This window comes from Homo sapiens, chromosome 12, assembly GCF_000001405.40.
Source record: "Homo sapiens chromosome 12, GRCh38.p14 Primary Assembly".
Lineage (NCBI taxonomy): Eukaryota > Metazoa > Chordata > Mammalia > Primates > Hominidae > Homo > Homo sapiens.
Window position 1 is genome coordinate 78,640,836 of NC_000012.12, and position 22,887 is coordinate 78,663,722.

The window sequence follows — 22,887 nt, forward strand, 5'->3', positions numbered from 1 at the left end:
TTGAGGAGTGGTTCATAACACTTACCTGTATAGTATTGGGTCCTTAGGGGAAAATGGCTACATCATTGTGAAATTCATAATAGCAAAGAAGATAGAAACATGTCTTAGACTTTACAAAATAGGTTGACAAAAATTGTCATAATCCTTCCTCCTGAAAAACCTTGAAAGGAAAAAAGTTTAAGAAGTATCAGTTGATCAAAAAATAAAACTTTGATTCTACAATTTAAAATATTCTCATTAAGGAAGAATTGGAGTTTTATCCAAACAAACTAAAATGAAATTTTAATTAAGATTTTCAGATTTGTGCATGCTATTTACAAACAAGTTAGTATATGTAGAATATAGTTAAGTCCTGTGGTGGTTTAATCTTTTGAGTTTGGGGTTGAAATTCTCTCTTCTCCCCAAGTCTTTTGACTTTGAGTAAGTAACTTAAGCACTTGAATCATCTATGTCTTCATCTATAAGTGGGAATAACAAAATTACCTATCTCAAGTTTTTGATGATTAGATTGAATAGCATTATAAAGCAATTAGCTCAATGCCTGCTTTGCAATACATATTTTATACTGATAGTCATAAAGAAGTAGAAGGGGCATTTAAAGAAGAATAAATATAAATATACACATAAATAAGGTAAGAAACATTGAGGCATCAAAGATGGTGAGACTTTGAAAATATTCTACAGAAAATACAAGGCCTATAACTTCATTCATGTTTCAGGGTCACCTTCCCGGTGAAGCCTTTTCTGACCACTGATTTAAGATTGCAAGTATCCCTCTTTCACCTTAAACTCCTATTCTACTTCCGTTCTTAGGCTTATTCATCAAGCACCTAGACCTGTTCCTGCCTTACAAAAGGTGCTAATATTTGTTGACTAACTAAATGAATAAATAAATCAAATGAATGATTAAGTGGAACAAAGATGGAATAAACTCGTTGCCTAGGGGAGGTGCTGTAAAGTTAACTGATAAGAGAAAGCATATTTACATTTATCTTTTTTCCGTAACAAAGAATGTTTTCAAAATAAAAAGGAAAAGGCAAATATTGAAAAGGAGAATAATCTTTGCATAAATGAGGATAGACCAATCTGTGCTGGAGTAAAAATAAAGGCTTCCATTAAAGTGGGCCTGAGACTCCTTGGCAGTAGACACAGCTTTACCAGCTCTATGTTGTATTGCTGGTGTGTTAACCACAAGGTGGCCAAGTTCACTATGAAAGGGAAGAGTGGAGAATTGCACAAAGATTGTATGCCCAGAATTATATATTATATTTCTCTCTTTCTCTCTCTCTCTCAACCTCCCCTCCCCCACCCCACCCCCCCGACACACATAATGTCTCACCAATTACTGGCATTTAAAACACAGTCACATGGTTCACATGATGCAATCACATAACTGCAAGAGAGGCTGGGAAATGGTCCTCTATTGTGCCCAGGAATAGGAAATGGTTTGATAAATGTTCCAGATGCTTTCTGACACAATGCTCAAAATACAGTCATTTTAAGTGAATATGAGTTCCAATCCCAAATTAATTGTCATTTTGGAAGGAATTTGCATGTTTAATTGTAGAAACACTGACAGTAATCAGTTAAATTTTGATAAATAAAATTAATATCAAAAAATTAAGGTGGGAAATGTTTCCTCAAATTTTGTTTTTACCAGGGTGAAAAATACAAGTTCTAAAAGACTTCAAACTGAAAAACATGTAAGTTATCTGTACAACTCTAGAAAAGATGAAGAATCAGATGGTTAATGAACCTCCCAAAAGGAAGTGAAGAGAGCTGGGAACTAATGTGGGTTCACTAAGGAATCACCATAGTTGGCATAATTATTAAATTAGTTCATGACCTAAGAAGCCCGAGACAGACAACGATGGAGTGAATAAAACGGTGAAGCTTTATATTCTCAGAATTTGCTGAAACAGGGAGACAAAACTATTATCCAATGTGAAAAGAAAACAGGCAAACAGGCATTAGGGCTGGGCGCAGTGGCTCACGCCTGTGATCCCATCACTTTGGGGGGCCAAAATGGGTGGATCACTTGAGGTCAGGGGTTCGGGATCAGCCTGGCCAACATGGTGAAACCCCATCTCTATTAAAAATACAAAAATTAGTCTGGCGTGGTGGCGTTCACCTGTAATCCAAGCTACTCGCAGGGCTGAAGCAGGAGAATTGCTTGAACCTGGGAGGCGGAAGTTACAATGAGCAGAGATTGCACCACCACACTCCAGCCTGGGCGACAGAGTGAAACCCTGCCAAAATAAATAAATAAATAAAAGAGAGAGAGAGAGAAGCAAAGAAAGAAGGAAAGAAAAGAAAGAAGAAAACAGAGGTGTTACTAAACTATTAACTCAATGTAAATCAACAATGTGAAAAATATGATAGGCCAGGCACGGTGGCTCACGCCTGTAATCCCAGCACTTTGGGAGGCCAAGGCAGGTGGATCACGAGGTCAGGAGTTGGAGACCAGCCTGGCCAATATGGTGAAACCCTGTCCCTACTAAAAGCACAGAAATTAACCAGGTGTGTTGGTACGCACCTGTAATCCCAGCTACTCGGGAGGCTGAGGCAGGAGAATCACTTGAACCCGAGAGGTGGAGGTTGCAATGATCTGAGATCACCCCCGACTGTGCTCCAGCCTGGGCAACAAAGCAAGACTCCATTACAAAAAGTAAAAAGAAAAAGAAAAGAAAGTAATCTGTTCTCACACTATACAGTGGTAAAATAATATTGAGTTCAAGATAAATCGTTTATTAGCTCTAGTAAAACATTACAAGCCCTGTCATGTCAAAATGTTATTCCATTTAATTTTTCCAACTAGCTGAATGTACTATTTTTCTGTTAAAACCTTTCCTCTGTAATCACTAGCCTGGTTAATGATCTCACTATCTCTCTATCCTACAGCTGGAAACATGGGAGTTGTTCTCCATTCATTCCCATTTCACCTTTATATTTTATGGGGCACCATGTACTTTGATTATATTTCCTGTCTCGTGCCCTCCGTGCTTTATTTTCTTCTGTAGTATCACAGTAGTCTCTTAAGTAGGCTTATTATTTCCAGTGCCAACTCTCTGCAATTTAATCTCCACACTGCTGGTAGTAATATTTCTAAAACATGATCTGGCTAGGTTATTCCCTTGCTTTAAGTCCTTTACTTTCTCTCCATTCTCTGTAGTATCCATTCTAAATTCCTCAAAAAGACATTTAAATGATGGCATAGTACAGTATTATTCAAGCAGTAGACTATCAGTATCTACTACTGGTAAATTATCAATTAGTGGCTGCAAACTAGATTTACTCTTTTGGGACTAACATTTAAAAAAATAGAATATACTGGAATAGAGTTATCCAAATACATTACCCATGATAAGGGTAACTCTAATTTTGTGGAATTTGAGATACAAACACACACATGCACACTCACCCATACATATATAATGCATATACTAATTCATGACATAAAATACATTTCTTACTGTGGATTGAGATATTTTAAAAAATTGTTTTGAGAGATGCTTGCAGAGTGGTTAAGAGCAAGATGACTGGGGCTCAAAATTTAATTCTGCAATTCGCTAGTTTTGTAACTTTTGGTAAATTATTTAACATCTCTCTGATTCACTTTCCTAATTTTTAATGAGACTAAGAATAATATGTATATTGTTATTTTGAATATATAAGCATGCATAAGAATGCATGACTTGAAGTGTGTATTCAATAAATGTTAACTATACTTTGGGAGGTTTTTTCCTTTTGTTACTTTTTTAATCAACCCTGATGTGGTTTGGCTCTGGGTCCCCACCCAAATCTCACCTTGAATTGTAATAATCCCCACTTGTCCTGGGAGGGACCCAGTGGGAGGTAATTGAATCATGGCAGTGGGGATGTCCTGTGCTCTTCTCATGATAGTGAATAAATCTTATGAGATCTGATGGTTTTATAAGGGATTTCCCCTGCACATGTCATCTTGCCTGCTTGACTTTGCTCTTCATTCACCTTCCGCCATGATTGTGAGGCCTCCCCAGCCATGTGGACTTGTGAGTCCATTAAACCTCTTTGCTTTATCAATTACCAGTCTCAGGTATGTCTTTATTAGCAGCATGAGAAGAGACTCCTACTTGCTCTGTAGCTTTACCTGTTACACTTCTGTATATCACATGCTTCACTACAGCTTATTTGAACTTAGAAAAGACATAGTAAACATTCTTTCAGTGCACCACCAAGTGCACTCATATATGAAGCACCTCATATATGAAGAAACTTGGGCAGAGACAAATCATATACTTTGCCCAAGTTCACAGAACCAGTTACTCTTATGTGCTGAAGGCCAGTCCTACTCTTAACTACCAGGCTATACTGCCTCTAGTACCTTTGCTTATAATCATCACTACAACCGTCCGCACTACCACTCTTCTCACTCGTCTTTGTTGTGCATATACTTATTGAAACTTTCAGCTATTTCATTATATATCTGTCTTTCACAGTGGATTTTATTCCCTGTGCTTGAAATGACCTTTTCTCAAAAGTTTTTTTTGGAAAAGTTCTACACATCATTCTAGATTCTGCTCGCAAATTTCCTCTCTAAATGCAACTACTGGCAGACACAATTAGTTGCTTTTTTTTGTATTCCAAAAGTACTTTGTGATTTCTTTCTAGGTATTTTTCAATTTGTGTTATAGAAAACAAAAGTCTTATGAGATGTTTTGAAAAACAGGTCATTGTTACCAAATTTTGGGAAATGCTGCATAAGGTTACTTCTTTTACTTTGAAAAAAATCACAAAATATATTAATATCTTAAGAGCTCAGAGAAGACCTGACAGAAAAATGGTAATTTTTCTTTTCTTTAAACCATTGTCCTCAGATTTTAATAATACATTTTGAGCCATACTTTGGTGTAATACTTATTAGAGAAACTCCTTTAAAAATACTTCACCGTTAGCATTTATTTGCCTAAGTTGAAATTCTTCTTCCATGCATGTTACTTCCACTAGAGTGTTGTAGTGGATATTTATTGTTTTGGTTACCCAGTATTAGTATGTTCTTCTTGTTTTGGAATAACTCTTAGGTAGTTGAAAAATAGGAATTTGCTTACCACCATGAAAGCAGAAGTAGCTATTCTACCTTTTGACATCTGATGCCTAACTGCCTATTTTTATCTAGGAATTTGACACTTGGCAGAAAATGCAAGGATATTTATTCCTACTTATAGCAAGAGAAGTGGCTGTCAGTTTCCAGTTCTATTGGGATCATTGTTTTCCTGTGTCATTCAGCTTTTATTGCACAACACCCAATCGCAAAAATCTCAGTGGCATACAACAAAAGTATTTACTTCTCACTCATGTGTTGCTTATTAACTGGAGTTCGGCTGATTTAGACTAGCCATTGCTAGGCTTGGCTCCAGGCCATACTTAGAGTTTAGATCTTGTCCATATGGCTCACATTTTTCTGGGGATCCAACAGCATACCTGGGGCATGCACATTCCAGACACATTTAAGTCTTTGCTGTTTCATGGCCACTGAGATCCCATGGTTCACAGCAAGTCATATGGCCAAACACAAAGTTAAAACACTAGGAAATATCTTTTTTTTCTACTATGAGACCATGATAAGGCTGTGAATGTATACATTATCTATTACAAGAGAACAGAGAATTGAGAGTATAATCTGCCATATGTTCTAAGCACACATTTTTGTTGCTGAATCTTGGTTGAGCTTCAAATCCCTTTTTTTTGCTGCTGGAGAGTATTTCTCAAGTCTTCCTGTTGATTTGAAGAGCTGCTTGATACCCTCTAGCAAACAGTTACCTTTCAGGTCATATGAAATCATATGAGCACCTGGGAGAGGGTTTTGGGGCACAAAGATGAGGTCCTCAAATGACATCAGGAGGCAGTAGCCTAACTTATACCTGAGTATAACCAAATTCTGATTAATAAATCTCTGTGATACTCTCATCAAATATTTTATTGTGGGAAACTGATCATTGTGCAGGATAGGATATTTTTAGGAATGTAGTTTTAAAATAACGAATATAATCTTTGTTAGGACACGAGAATTTTTTTCATTTTGAATCACTACCTAGTAATATATTTTAACCAAGTTTTCACCATAATATTCACTTTTACAAATATAAAAGCTATAATCAAAGGTATATGTATTAGTCCATTCTCATGCTTCCATGAAGAAAATACCAGACTGGGTAATTTATAAAGGAAAGAGTTATAATTAAATCAAAGTTCCATAGGGCTGGGGAGGCCTCAGAAAACTTAACAATCATAGCAGAAGGGAAAGCAAACATGTCCTTCACATAGTGACAGGAAGGAGAAGAATGAGAGAAGGGCAAAGCAAAATGGGGAAAAGCCCCTCACAAAACCATCAGATCTCATGAAAACTCACTCCCTATCATGAGAACAGCACAGGGGAATGGCCCCCATGATTCAATCACCTCCCATGAGGTCCCTCCCCCAATACATGGATGTTACAATTCAGATTACAATTCAAGATAAGATTTGGTGAGGATACAGCCAAATCATATTATTCTGCCCCAACATGTGGGGATTACAACTGAGATAACAATTCAAGATGAGATTTGGGTGGGGACACAGCCAAACCATATCATTATACCTGATTTTTAGTTGCTATTATTTTCCTATTAGAAACCAAATTTGGGGAGGCATCTCCAAATACTAACATTGGTAAGTAAGATATAATTGAGTAGCAAACAGCGGTGGTTTTTTATTTCTACACAAAGGTAATACTCCTCTTCATTGCTAAGTATGTAACTGATATTTTACAAGTTTAACATTTAAAAGAATACTTCTCCACCTGAGAGTTGACAATATGTATTAGAAACAGTAGAATGCTAGTTAACAATGAAATATGGAAACGAAGGCCTGGAAGGAAGGTTTCTAATATTATGTGGGGAAAACAAACAAACCTGATGATCAATCAGTGTGAATTATTATCAGTGTTCTTCATTATGGTTAGAAAGTTGAGCATTACAGTTAATTCACCTGCACATCTGTGACTGCTAGAGGGAATTGAAAGCACCACTGTCTATCCAAAAAGAAAATAGCCTTTAGAAATACTTTGTAATGCCAGATAATAAGGTGATATGATTACAAGCTAATAGACTCCATTACAGTACACAACACCACTTTGGGTTCAGCCTGATATTCCTCTTCTCACACTCCAGATGCTACTCTACTACCGAATTATCTCTCTCTTTGTATTGTTAGTGTGCAGATTGACTGTATTGTGTGTGTTTAATTTTGTTCTAAAAATTTTTTGTGAATTATGGTTTAAGTTATTACTGGGTATCTGAAAAGTAAGTATAAAATCAATGCTTTGTAAGCTCTGGGAAAAATATTGACTAACTTCTAAGGAGATTCATTGTTGTGGGAAGTCAGGGACCCCGAACGGAGGGACCGGCTGAAGCCATGGCAGAAGAACGTGGATTGTGAAGATTTCATGGACATTTATTAGTTCCCCAAATTAATACTTTTATAATTTGTTACACCTGTCTTTACTGCAATCTTTTAACATAAATTGTGAAGATTTCATGGACACTTATCACTTCCCCAATCAATACCCTTGTAAGTTCCTATGCCTGTCTTTACTTTAGTCTCTTAATCCCATCATCTTCGTAAGCTGAGGAGGATGTATGTCGCCTCAGGACCCTGTGATGATTGCGTTAACTGCACAAATTGTTTGTAGAGCATGTGTGTTTGAACAATATGAAATCTGGGCACCTTGAAAAAAGAATAGGATAACAGCAATGTTCAGGGAACAAGAGAGATAACCTTAAACTCTGACCACCAGTGAGCCAGGCGGAACAGAGCCATATTTCTCTTCTTTCAAAGGCAAATAGGAGAAATATTGCTGAATTCTTTTTCTCAGCAAGGAACATCCCTGAGAAACAGAATGCGTCCCTTAGGGTAGGCCTCTAAAATGGCCACTTTGGTGGGCAGCCATCATTTATGGTCGAGCTGTAGGGATGAAATAAGCCCCAGGCTCCCATAGTGCTCCCAGGCTTATTAGGACGAGGAAATTCCCACCTAATAAATTTTGGTCAGACCAGTTGTCTGCTCTCAAACCCTGTCTCCTGATAAGATGTTATCAATGACAATGTGTGCCCAAAACTTCATTAGCAATTTTAATTTCACCCCAGTCCTGTGGTCCTGTGATCTCACCCTGCCTCCATTTGCCTTGTGATATTCTATTACCTTGTGAAGCACATGATCTCTGTGACCCACACCCTATTCATATACTCCCTCCCCTTTTGAAAATCACTAATAAAAACTTTCTGGTTTTATGGCTCAGGGGGCATCACGGAAACTGCTGACATGTGAGGTCTCCCCCGGACACCCAGCTTTAAAATTTCTCTCTTTTGTACTCTGTCCGTTTATTTCTCAGGCCAGCTGACATTTAGGGAAAATATTATTTATTTATTTATTTATTTATTTATTTTTAATTATACTTTAAGTTTTAGGGTACATGTGCACATTGTGCAGGTTAGTTACATATGTATACATGTGCCATGCTGGTGCGCTGCACCCACTAACTCATCATCTAGCATTAGGTATATCTCCCAATGCTATCCCTCCCCCCTCCCCCCACCCCACCACAGTCCCCAGAGTGTGATATTCCCCTTCCTGTGTCCATGTGATCTCATTGTTCAATTCCCACCTCTGAGTGAGAATATGCGGTGTTTGGTTTTTTGTTCTTGCGATAGTTTACTGAGAATGATGATTTCCAATTTCATCCATGTCCCTACAAAGGACATGAACTCATCATTTTTTATGGCTGCATAGTATTCCATGGTGTATATGTGCCACATTTTCTTAATCCAGTCTATCATTATTGGACATTTGGGTTGGTTCCAAGTCTTTGCTATTGTGAATAATGCCGCAATAAACATACATGTGCATGTGTCTTTATAGCAGCACGATTTATAGTCATTCGGGTATATACCCAGTAATGGGATGGCTGGGTCAAATGGTATTTCTAGTTCTAGATCCCTGAGGAATCGCCACACTGACTTCCACAATGGTTGAACTAGTTTACAGTCCCACCAACAGTGTAAAAATGTTCCTATTTCTCCACATCCTCTCCAGCACCTGTTGTTAAAAGAACCTACATGAAATATTGGGGGTGCTTTTCAAAATACTTTGTAATGCCAGATAATAAGGTAATATGATTACCAGCTAACAGACTCCATTATAGTACACAGCACTGCTTTGGGTTCAGCCTGATATTCCTCTTCTCACACTCTAGATGCTACTCTACTACTGATTTGTCTCTCTCTTTGTATTGTTAGTGTGCAGATTGACTGTATTTTGTGTGTTTAATTTTGTCCTGAAAAATTTTGTGAATTACGTTTAAGTTATTATTGGGTATCTGAAAAGTACGTATAAAATCAATGCTTTGTGAGCTCTGGAAAAAATATTGACTAACTCATAAGGAGATTCATCATTGACAGAGGTAGTCAGTGGCCTACACTCATGTCACCATCACCACAAAATAGCACTGCTTCTCCAAACTGCATTTTTTTTCTGAAAGAGTAATTCCTTGTGGCAAGTGATATGCTCCATGAAAGCTGTATCAGTTAAGGTTTGAGCTTAACTGCATGTAACAAAACATCTAAACACATCAATCTTCTAAGATACCTCCAAAGTTTTGACAAAAGTAAATTCAGAATAATTTTGGTCTTGGAGATGGAGATGAACATCTCCAGAAACAGACTAGAAACCCAAGACAGAGAATAAAAGCAGCAAAATCCAGTGGGTGCCTGGGCTGTGGATCCAGAAGTAGGAGGTGCCAGCCAGGAACTTGGATTCTGTGTAGAACTACACCATTCTAAAAGTAAACTCATAATCTAGCACCCTGAATCCAGGGTCTACTTCTAGGCCTGGGACTTAAATAGCTTGCTCTCTTTAATATGTGTAAAAGATGACTTAAACAAATAGTAAATCTTTCATGTATACAAAGACAAACATAACCAGCCATTAGAATATAATCTGACCATGCTTGGTGGCTCACGCCTGTAATCCCAGAACTTTGGAAGGCTGAGGCATGTGGATTGCTTGAGTGCAGGATTTCAAAACCAGCTGGGGCAATATGGCCAAACCTTTTCTCTACCAAAACAAAAAACAAACAAACAAACAAAAAAGAAAATTAGCTGTGCATGGTGGTGTGTGCTTGTGATCCCAGCTACTCAGAAGGCTGAAGTAGGAGGATCCCTTGAGCCCAGGAGGCGGAGGTTGCAGAGAATGGAGATTGCACCACTGCCCTCCAGCCTGAGCGACAGAGGGAGACCCTCTCTCTCTCTCTCTCTCTCTCTCTCTCTCTGTCTCTCTCTCTGTATATATATGTGTGTGTGTGTGTGTGTGTGTGTGTGTGTATGTGTGTGTGTGTATAATCTCATTGAATGGTAGACCACCAGGTGGCTGTGAGAGTAGAAGTATTTGAATTGTCAAACAGTAATTACATCATACAGAGTTAAATAAGGAAGGAAGATTTTATTCAAGATAATTGCAAGAGTGGAGAGAGTTCAATCTCTTTTCCTTATTTCCACTGAAACAAAAAGTGGGAAATGATGGAGTTTTAGTTGGGTTGTTTACTTTTTTAGGTGGTTCCTTATGTAGCAAAGGTTAACAAAAGATAGGCTATATAAAATATTTTTATAGTTAGAAAATGAAAATTTTTTAAAACTATATTCACACATCTGAATCACATCTCTTTCCCTCCCACACCATCCCTCCCAGTCCAATGCTAACATACTTATAGGTAACCATTTTTATTAATTTCTTGCTTATTCATCCAGTGTTTTAAAAGCTCTTTCATATAAATATATATGAAATAGATATATAAAATATATATGATATATATGAAATAGATATATATGATATATATGAAATATGATATATATTTGATATATATCATATTTCATATATATATATGGTGGGAGAGCTTTTAAGCACTGTAGTGAGCCAGTGGAAATGTACTGGAGGAGTTGGTTTGAGGATGAGGTGGAGCTTGGTCAATGTGATGAGGCCATCTGTCTCTGCTAATTGGTGCTTATCTAAGTTAGCCTCCTACCTTCCCACAAAGACTGGGAAACAAGGACCTTATCTTTCTTGACAATTACATTTCAAAGGAATGGTTTCCAGGTTATTGAAAAAGACATTCCTGGGTTGTAAAACTGGCCAGAGACTGGGAGATTTGCATCTTAAAGGAGGAATGCTCTAAGTAAGAGTGGTTAGGGGCCTACAGTTAGGAAGAAACCTAAAGTTTAATCAAGCTGAGGGAAACTTTAAGATCCTCTAAGTGGATTCTACTGGTGTTAGAATTTCTGGCCATGGTGATTATAAAAAGCAGATCAAATTTAAAGCAGTTTTTAAAATTTTTCTTTCAAAGACAATTTAACAGTCAATACACACCCTTATCGCCCGCACCCCAGGGCAGGCTACTCTCACTGCCCTCCAGATGCTATGCTACTGAAGGTGAGATTAATTTTATACACTTGTCAATAAGAATTTTAAATCTATTTAATATTCTCACAGATACATATGAAGTCATGGCACATTCACTAAAATGAACAAGAAATTACAAAACAAAGTAGGTAGAAGTGAAACAAGAATAGGTCTACAGGCTGGGTGCGGTGGCTCATGTCTAAAATCCCAGCACTTTGGGAGGCTGAAGCAGGCAGATCAATCACCTAGGTCAAGAGTTCGAAACCAGCCTGGCCAACATAGTGAAACCCCGTTTCTACTAAAAATACAACAACAACAAAAATTAGCTGGGCGTGGTGGCGAATGCCTGTAATTCGAGCTACTTGGGAGGCTTAGGCAGGAGAATCGCTTGAACCTGGAAGGCAGAGGTTGCAGTGAGCCAAGATCAGGCCACTTCACTCCAGCCTGGGTGACAGAGTGAGACTCCATCTCAAAAAAAAAAAGAAAAAGAAAAAGAAAAAGAAAAAAAGAAATAAGTGTATAGTATACGAAAAGAAGCAGTTAGATGTATTGCAAATGAAAATGATGGCCGGGCGCGATGGCTCACGCCTGTAATCCCAACACTTTGGGAGGCCGAGGCGGGCGGATGACGAGGTCAGGAGATTGAGACCATCCTGGCTAACATGGTGAAACCCCGTCTCTACTAAAAATACAAAAAAATTAGCCGGGTGTGGCGGCGTGTGCCTGTAATACCAGCTACTCGGGAGGCTGAGGCAGGAGAATGGTGTGAACCAGGGAGGCATAGCTTGCAGTGAGCCAAGATCGCGCCACTGCACTCCAGCCTGGGCGACAGAGCGAGACTCCGTCTCAAATAAAAAGAAAAAGAAAAAAAGCAAATGAAAATGACATTTCCTGGAATAAGTATTCCATCAGGCTCAATTCTAGAGAATTAGTGAATTGAAGAGTAGTACTATTATTGAGACTCAGAAAACAATACCCCAAAATGAAGGCATCAGAAGAAGCCTCAGAAGGAAAAGCTTTTCTTTAACCTTCTCCTGCCCTCCTGTCTCTCAGTCCCATTCTCTCCCAAGATTAGCCATAGAAACTAGAATCCCTCTTCCCCAAGGTGGGCCATAGAAACCAGACTCCCTTGTCCCCAAAGCCAGCCATAAAACCTAAAAAATATGACTCTAACTTTCCCTCCACCTTTCTGTGTAAAAACTGGCCCTGAAGAAATTATCTGACCTACATTGTTTGACTGTGGGTCATAAGATCCCATTCCAGAGAGGGTCTTTTCCCATACCCAGAAGAAGGAGTACTGCACAGAGAGGACAAGAAGAATCGAAATAGGCTATGCAAGGTTTCTTCACTCAGTCTATTAGTATTAGTTCATACCATTTTTTTGTCCAGTTATATTTCTACACAGCTGTCCATACTTCATTGAATCTAATGGACAGTTTCCCCTGAAGTTCTGTCTTCATTCTGAAAGCTCCCATGTACATGTTAATAAAACGTGTATGCCTTTTCTCAGATTAATCTGTCTTTTGTGGGTTAATTTTTCAGTGAAACTTCGAAGGGCAAAAGAGAGGTTTCCTCTTGGCTTCCACACTGTGATAAAACTAGATACTCAGCCCAAAGTGATAGAATAGTTAAGTTATTTGAAAGGTTGCTTGTGATACTCCAACAAATACCTAACGGGAATTCTTGATTATAAGAATGGAGAAAATAGTAGAAAAGTAGTCGTTAAATGGCAAATAAGCAACATTTTTTTCCAAATTAATGACACACATTCTCAGATTAAAAGTTTACTGTAAGTTTTTGCAGGATCAATAAAATTAAATTTACATCTAAACATGTTGTATTGAAACCTAAGAACATCAAATACACAAACAAAAATGCTTAGAAAGTTACCAGAGTGAATTCAAAGTACCACCTTCAACAAAAAAACAATTACAATTAACACACACCTCATTAAAAACAAAAAGAAATATCTGAAAGTGGTGAGGGATAATAGTTGTGAAACTAAGATATTGTAACTTGTTGAGTTATAAGTTATGTGCACAGGTAAAATAGATATATTTTTAGTCACAGCATGTCTAAGAGAGTTAACTCAAAAAAAGTGAAACCAGGAAATAGGAAACAATGTTGAGTACATAAACTGATAAAATATTTTTAAAGTTAAATATAAATTAGTGATATTTTAATTTTTAAGTATACCTAAGATTCAGAATACAACTGCAAAAATATTTCTGTTCTTGTACGTTGTAAGAATATAAAATGATTTAAAATATATCATCAAATTTTAAAATTAAGCAGTCGTATTTCAAGAGGTAACCAAAAATTAAAAATACAATCTATAGCTCCCAGAGCAGCATGGGAAAATCAGGACAAAGGGAGATGAGGGGATGACAAAATTATATCAAGCTACAAGAAGGCAAGAAAAGTCCATATATTATTAATTAATCACAAGATAGGTGAGCAATAAATTTACTTATTAAAAGAGTTTATACAGATTATTAGATTAGCAATCCAGTTGCATTTTACTTATGTTCAAAAAAATCCAGGATTATTTATATTGAAACTACAGGAAAGTTCAGTATGATTGCTAGGTCAAAATAAACAGTTAATATTTTTTCTGTATACCAGTAAAGATCTAACTAGGAAATATAGTTTTAGAATACTGTTCATAGAATTTTACATTTCTTAAAAGTAAATCTAGCAAAATATGCGAGATCACATGAAAAAGTTATGAAATATTGAGAAGCATAAGACAGCATTCCAATAAATGGAAATTACAATGTTCTTATGAACAGAAAGACTCAATATCTTGAAGATGTTAATCTGTAAATCCAATTAATCTATAAATCCAATGCAATTCAAATAAAAAAAAACAGGAATTTTCATGAATAGAACAAGCTGACCCAAGAAAGCATTGCCATGTACGAAAGACCAAGAACAGCTAAAGTAATTTTGAAAAACAACCAAATATAATAACTTTTTTCCTGAAAAGCATCAAAATATGCTATTAAAATTTCATTGTAATTAAAACAATTTTACTTAGACCAATATACTGAAGGAACAGAAAAGTGAGACTGGAAATAAACCCTCATATGAATGGAAAGTGAAGTATGAATGAGATAGCATTACCAATCAGTGTGGAAGCAGTGGTTAACTCAAAACAATATTGCCAAGGTAATTGGCTAAACAGTAATGTACCAAATAGAAAAAAGCATTAAAATAGATAGATTCTAATCTTGTTGTAAACCTGTGTGAAGACACACATGCATAAGCATGTACAAAATTTATAACTGATTAAAAGCTTAGAAAAACATTGAATATTTTAGGAAAAAGGATAACATGTTTATTATTTTAAGAGAAAATTCTTCAATAGCAAGCATCATTTTTAAGACTTCATACCACCAAAATAAATGTGAATTAAGAGTTAGGAGAAGCTAAAAATGTCAAGAAGATTTTTAACCAACAAAGGAAGAGCATCCAGAATAAATTTAGAACACTCTCCAATTATAAACATATAGACATGGCCCCAAATAAGAACATTTGGAAAATGGACAACAGTAAAGCAAATTGGCAATCCATGTAAGCAAAACATAATTGACCAAGAAATACCTAAAAAGAAGCTAAGCACAAAAGAAAAACTATTTATTTCACCCATCAAAGTGGCAATATACAAAATGCTAACAAAAATAAGTGCTGGTGAAAAAATGGAGAAATGCCTTCATTGCTGATGCATGTGCTCATTGATAATTTCAAAGCACAAATAGACAAATTGGTAAATCGAAAAAAAAGTTATCTTCCTACCTAGCAATTCCATTTAGAGTTGTGCTCCTGAGAAATTCTACAACTCACACACGTACAGACATATTGCAATGCTTATTACAGTATTTTTTACAAGAAAAATTAGAAACAAGCTGGGCATGGTGGCTCTTGCCTATAATACTAGCACTTTGGGAGGCTGAGACAGGAGGATAGCTTGAGCTCAGGAGGTTAAGACCAGCATGGGGAAGATAGTGAGACCCCATCTCTACAAAAAATAGAAGTAAAAAAATTAGCCAGGTGTATGTGTGCTTGTAGTCCCAGCTACTCAGGAAACTGAGGTAGAAGGATCACTTGAGCCTGGGAGGTCAAGGCTGCAGTGAGCAGTGATCATGTCCCTGCACTTCAGCCTGAGTGACAAAGCAAGATCCCAACCCAAGAAAAAAAAACTGGAAACACCCAAAATATCCATTATCAGAAGATTAAATAAGTCAATTTTTATATGTTTACATATAAAAATACCAAACAGCATTTAATGTGAGTGAATTACAGTTAAATTAGAGTTAAATATGTCAACATGAATAGATCTCAAAAGCATAATATAGAGTAAAAGAAATTAATCACAAAATCATAAGTGTAATATAGTTCTTAAAAAATAGAAATTGAAAACATGCCAATTTTATATCTTGCTTATGAATTCTTTCATATGTAAAATAGTATAAAATACTGAAAAATATTTTTAAAATTCCATTTGGGAAGGAATAAGTCATGCAAGGAGAATTATACAAAAGGCTTGAAGAAGATTCGTCATTGTTATGGGTTGCCTTTTGTTCCTCCTAAATTCATATGTTGAAGTCCTAAGCCCCAGTACCTCAAAATGTGATTAAATGAAACTGGTTAAATTAAGATGAGGTCATAACAAATAGGGTGATCTCTTAATCCGATATATGTAGTGTCCTCATAAAAAGGAAAATTTTGGACATGGACACACACACACAAACACACACATACGAAGAATGCCATGTGAAGATTGGCATTTCACTTCAGCAAGGCAACAAACTCCTGGCAGCTAGGAGACATACCTAGAGCAAATACTTTCCTAGCACCTTCAAACAAGGATGGTTCTGCCGACATCTTAATTTCAAACTTCTGGTTTCTAGAATCGTAAGATGACAAATTTCTGTTGTTCAAGTCACTCAGTCTATGGTACCTTTTCAGGAAGCCCTAGTAAATTAATACAGTAATGTTTTAAAATGTATTTAAAATTATCTATGGCAATTATTGTAAACATTTTTAAATTGATAAACTGTAGACTTACTCTCTATAGTTTTCTCTGAACTTGAAGTTTTCATGATTTTGAAAAGTAAAAGGAAAGTGAATTCCAATCTAAAGGAATAATTAATAAAATGGAAAAGTTGAACAAAGATGTTAATCTGAGGAAGCTAGAATATGAGTATTAAAAAGTCAGCTTTATGACAGGCAGGAGAAAAGTTGTAAAAATGTGTACACACAGGATTAGTAAACAGAAACACAATACAATCAAAATCATTATTTAATTTTAGGAAGCAACTGAAAATTCAATTAATAGGAAAGATTTATAAGCAGAAAACATATAAAAATGGATTATGTCAAGGTATAAAAAGTTTTTTAAGGAATAATGATACGATTAGCAAAATTGTATTCTAATATACTTAAATATCTTGAGAAAGAGGATTTTTTTAACTGTATAATATCGGATATATAATTTTTTTAAACTATAAAACATCTGATGTACATCCAGGAGAAAAATCTTAAAAGTCCTATTCTATAAATGTGTAAAATTTGTATCATATTATTCATGAAAGGAAAATATGAAATTTTTATAAAATAATAAAAGGCATACATTACCTAAATACAAATTGAAATAATGAAATATATTGTCACCTATAATCCTTTGCTTCAATGAAACCTATGGAGGCATGGAAATCTTAGGTAGTGTAGTTGGTTGGATCCCTACCAGGAAATGGGAGATGATAAAGGATTTTGATATTACGAAAGTAGAAACATTACTCTGAAAAAGTCCTCAGTACATTGTTTTGTAAATACATATATATATATACACACATACACATTTATACAAACACACACACATACATATATACAGATATGTATATATTTGTGTGTACATATACACACATGTATATGTGTGTACATATGTGTGCATATATACATATGTGCATCTATACATATGTATATACATGTGCGTATTTGTGCATATATAGGTATATACATATACCTATATATGTACATATGTATGTGTGTGTATATGTATGTGCATATATATGTACTATTGTGTGTGTCTATATGTGTGTGTTGTGTATATATGTACATATGTATATATGTCTCTATGTGTGTGTATGCATGTGTGTATATATATATATATATATATACACAAATGGATATTGATGGCAAAGTTGTAGGTAAAATGTAAGTTTATTACACGGTTGGGCAGAATGGACATTGAGAAACTCTTAGAAAAACAATTTTGCAAAGTTATCAAAAACCTTCAAAATATTCTCTTTCCTTCAATAAATCTGTTTCATGGAATTCAGTCTAAGGAAATAATCAGAAATTTAAAAAATGTTTTGTCAACTATGGTCATCATCTACAATAGTAAAAACCAGAAATCAACAACTGGAAAATTACTATGTAAATTATGGTGTAGCACATTATGCAATCTTTTAAATAAACTTGATTGAGAGCTTTAATGATGTAAAAAATGCTTATGATATAGCATGATTCAGTTTTTCTAATTTTATACAGAGAATGAAATAAACTATGTGAACAATAATTGGAGAAGGGAAACACCAAAGTATGAAGACTGCATATCTTCAAGTGGTGGTCTAATGGTCCATTTTTATTTTTTTGTTGATATTGGCATTTTTTTTTATATTTCCCGTCTTCTCGAAAACAATGTATTATGTTGCAGTCATGAAACACAATTTTGAAAAGGTGACTTTTAATTTTTCATCGATGTTAACCTTTGTCTTGTTATGAAATACTTCAATTCAACAAATATTGTTAGGTATCTACAACTGCACTAGGCAAAAAGTGTTAGGAAAATGAATTCGACAGGAACTCTTCAGACATGTTAGCAATCTAGTTACCATAAAGGCATTAAGCGATAAAAAGTAATTTTAAGGGCTTATCATCTCTTGCCTGGATTATTATAACAGACTCTCACTGCATCTCTGTCTCCTGTATCCCACCCTTCAGTTTATTTTCTGCACCATTGCCAGAATGCTCTGTCTAAAGCACAAATTCAATCATGCCTTTTGCTTCCTAAACTTATTTGGCTCCCCTTGGTCTGAAGCACTGATTCTCAACCATGACTGCACATTAAAATCGCCCTGGTGAGTTTTTTAAAAGCTCCAGTGCCCAGACCTTCCTCCCCACCATAAAGCCATGCAGTTCCTGATTTAATTAGTCTTGGGCAGCACCAAAGCATCTATTTTTCAAAGCTCACAGAATTAAGCATCTTAGAATGGCATATAATGTCATTCTATGGAAAGGTTGAGGCTATGTTTCCAGCCATTTCTTACCACTTTTTCGAAGTGAACTCTGAATTTTAGGCTGTTCTTTGAAAATGTAACAATATTTCACAACTCTGTTTTTACCTATGATTTTTCTTTCCATTGTCACCTAGAGTTCTCCCACTTATCCTTCAAAATTCTATCCAGTCAGTCACTGAGGTAGCCTTCTCTGTCTTCTCTAAGGCAGAGGTAGGTGCTCTATCCACAGTAGGGGAAGAAGCAGCCCACATACAGGTAAACATGGAGAGATTCAGTCCTGCAGCACAGTGAGCCACTACAAAAAAATAGGAGGTGATAGAAGATTTTGACATTCCAAAGGTAGAATCATCACTTGGTAGAGCCCTCAGTATACTGTTTGGTATATGTTCTTTTACGTTTCTTTCTCCCACACCATACTGGAAGCCCTTTGAAGGCAAGGATGTTATCATGTTGTTCTTTATGTATCTTAGCACTTAGTCCAATGTCAGGAAGTTTGTAGGTACTCAACCAAGGTTTTTTAAAATAAATATAACAAATAACCATTAATCCAGTATATGATAAATGCCAAATGTATGGTACAGAATGAAATATGGTAGGAATTCGAAGGAGAGCAAGATTTCTGGGCAAAGCCTCCATTGCATCACAGTACAAGGGGAAGCTTTGGGTTCACTTCGAATGAAGTGCCATTTGCTAGGTGGGTGACTATAAACAAATTACTTAATCTTTCTAAGGCTTCATTTTCCCAAGTGTTGTGAGGATAGCCATCCTGATTTCACAGGTTGTCTGGAAAGTGTGTAATGGGCCTGGCAGATACAGGTGGTCAGTGAATGTTGGCTCCTGTCACTCTTATTTATTGTTTATTCCAATGTAATTTAGATTTTCTCTCCCAGCTAGATGCTCCTTGGAAGCAGAGACAATGTCTTACTTACAAGTGCTATTTCATAGTATAGAGCAATACTTACCACAAAGCAAATGCTCAATAGTTTTTGAAATAAAGAGAAATCATATAAGGTTGAAGGTTGAGTTGAATTTTATTTTATTTATTTATTTTTTTGAGATGGGGTCTCACTCTGTTGCCTGGGCTGGAGTTTAGTGGCATGATCTCGGCTGAATGCAACCTCCGCCTCCTGGGTTCAAACGATTCTCCTGCCTCAACCTCCCGAGTAGCTGGGATTACAGGCACCCGCCACTATGACCGGCTAATTTTTTGTATTTTTAGTAGAGACGGGGTTTCACCATGTTGGCCAGGCTGGTCTCAAACTCCTGACCTCGTGATTCGCCCGCCTTGGCCTCCCAAAGTATTGGGATTACAGGTGTGAGCCACTGCACCAGGCCTAGGTTGCATTTTAGTATATAAAAATGTAGCAAGATGGTGAGAGGGAGTAATACTGACAATGAATGAAAAAATAAATTCAGTGTGGAGAGTAAAATGATCAAGGTGGAGGTCCCAGAGGAGAAGTCAACTCAGTGAATGAAGGAGATGATTCAAGTAAGAGATTTAGTGAAAGAGTGTTCAGAAAAGAAGGGTAAGCCCTTGTTGTGAAACAATAAAAATATAAGGATTTGAGCTATTATTCGTTATATAACAGGGAGCCATAGAAGCATTTCAAGCAGAAATATAACATGCTCTTTAGCTCAAGGTCCAAGATAATTTCTAAGATGTGTGTAGGGTGAAAGGGAGGTAAAACACATTTTAAGCATTCAGAACACTTGCAAGAAATATCATTAGTATTAATTATTTATGTTTTATACTCCTGAAATAAAGTGATCTCAAAAGAAATAAACATGAAGCATTGGACAATTAATATTACATGATAGATTTATAGGCTATGATAGGGAAAGACATAAGGAGCATGCAAAATAAGAAAATTGAAAAATAAGCTTGGGAACTGAGAGGGAAGATAAATTCAGCATTAGACAAGTGGTGGTTGCATATCCAAATAAATGACCAGTAGGCATTTGGGGAGGTGGGACTGGATGGACTCTGTAATTACACAATTATCACCTAGTTAATAAGTTACAAAATCAGAGTAGATGAGGATGCTGATTCAAAATGAAAAAGACAATGGGAGCGGCCAAAGTTTGTCTCAGGAGGACAAACTAATAGATGTTAGGAATCAAAGAAAAACCTTTGTATGTTTTGCAGAATTCTGATCTTTGTTTTGTTTTGTTTTGTAACTAGAAACAATGCTACAGGGAAAAGCTAAGTCCCATCTTTGGATCCATTTAAGGCAATCATTTTAGGAAGATAATTTGATAAATGATTTCCCATCATGTATATTTAAAGCTAGAACACGGAATTCTGCCGTGATGATCCATGATTTACTTCCCAAAAACCACATAATGACTTTTTAATATTCATATGGGTAAAAGTTAATAATGAGTTAATAATGATGTTCCTTAAGTTTATCTGCTATAAAATAATTATAATTACATAGAAATTTTACCATATACTTTACAGATAATTCATAGTAAATTTCCCTTTATATAAATGAAATGACAGCAGTATTATCATTTTAATCTGAAATAATTATGAATTATTCAAAAGGTACCATTTTCAGCATTCAGTGCAGCATCAGTGCCTTTGATCTGGATGAACTGATGGGTATTCTATCCTTTACAAATTAATCTCCAATTACAAGTTCCTCCTTGGGATGTGGGTGCTGATAATTTTAATAAGGAACCATGGAATGGGTTATTTCATTACTACTTGGATATAGTAGACTTTCATGGACTTTCAAATGTAGGGCTTTTTAAAATAAAATTCAAAGTAGCCCAGAACAACTGGATATGTTACTTAAAAGTAAGTTACTCAAATGAAAATATCTTTTCTGTGCACACGTTCATGTCAGCTTGAAAATTAAATGCCTAGATATTTCCTACTGGAATCAATACTCTATCATTTCTTTTTCTCTTTTCAAAAAGATTATATCCTTTAAAAATGAAATACTACTAAAACCTCCTGTGTAATATTGGAGTGTTTTTTATAAAAACAAACAAAAAAAGGCAATTGAAAATTTTAAGCTTACAAACATAGGCTACATAACACAGAATTGGTCCTTAAGTTTCTTAAATTTATAAAAAATGGTAAAGAGAGAAATAGAGAAAATTTTCTCTGAATTGGACAGTGTGTGCAATCCCAGTTGCATAGAAAATTGTCTTAGACTGGAAGCTGCTTTGACAAACACAAAAGACTCCTGCTTAAACGCCAGGAGACTCTGCCAATCTACCCATAGTACTGCAGTTAGCTGACAGACAGATATTAAACAAAGTTCCTTCACTCTGTGACTTCCTGTTGATATGCTTCATAAACACCTTTCTTCCTAAAACAATGGGCAAAGAAAAACCTGGAAGCCTTCTTTGCAATTCATACATGATAATGTTGACAGTCCTAATCCTAGCTCCTCCTTAAGGGTGTTTGTCCGTCAACTATCAAACTGTAAAATACAGTTTACATCATAAAATTTCTGCTTCCACACATGCAAGTCACTGGTGAATCAGTAAACATGAAAATCTCCTAGATTTTGAGATAAATAGTAGAAACATGAATAAAAGCCTTATGTAGCAAGATCCCATTGGAAAAATGTTTAGGAACTAGGGCGAAACTAATCCTCATTAATGATTTTAATTAAGTCTCTAACCGTCAATTTATTTTCATTGCTGTTAAGTGAACAGATAGATGCCCAGAGGCAGAGACTGTTCTTGTAAGTACTGTGGCTATGAGTTTTGTGAGAGATTCCCATAAACCCTGCTCTGTGCTGGTACCTTCCACTTCCCTTCACCGATGGTCCTCTCAGGAATGTCCAGCTTACTCAGTGTTTAATGGGCCTCTACTTTGAAAGTGATGTCACAGGGGATTCAAGGAACCATCTTCCTCACATCTTACCTGGAGAAAGTAATGTTATATAACAGATTCTACTTTCATCCAAGCACAAAGGAAAAATGATTTCCCATACTTAAACAAGAAAGTCATCTAGATGGGGGATGGTGGGAGTGAGGAAGAAAGATGCACTCACTCCCTCCTGGCATGACATCAGGGTAGGAGCCCACCGAGCTGGGGCCCTTAAGAGGAGCCCTCATTGTCACTTGCCTCCCACACATTACTAAATAGTTTTTT

General features: G+C 36.1%; 1 annotated feature.

Annotated features, from left to right (window-relative positions):
- Positions 10,883 to 11,512: an enhancer, noted in NCBI's record as "OCT4-NANOG hESC enhancer chr12:79045498-79046127 (GRCh37/hg19 assembly coordinates)". NCBI's record gives its function as "activates a minimal SCP1, AML or CMV promoter by ChIP-STARR-seq in naive H9 embryonic stem cells {active_cell/tissue: H9 hESC(naive)}" and the evidence as "EXISTENCE:reporter gene assay evidence [ECO:0000049][PMID:30033119]".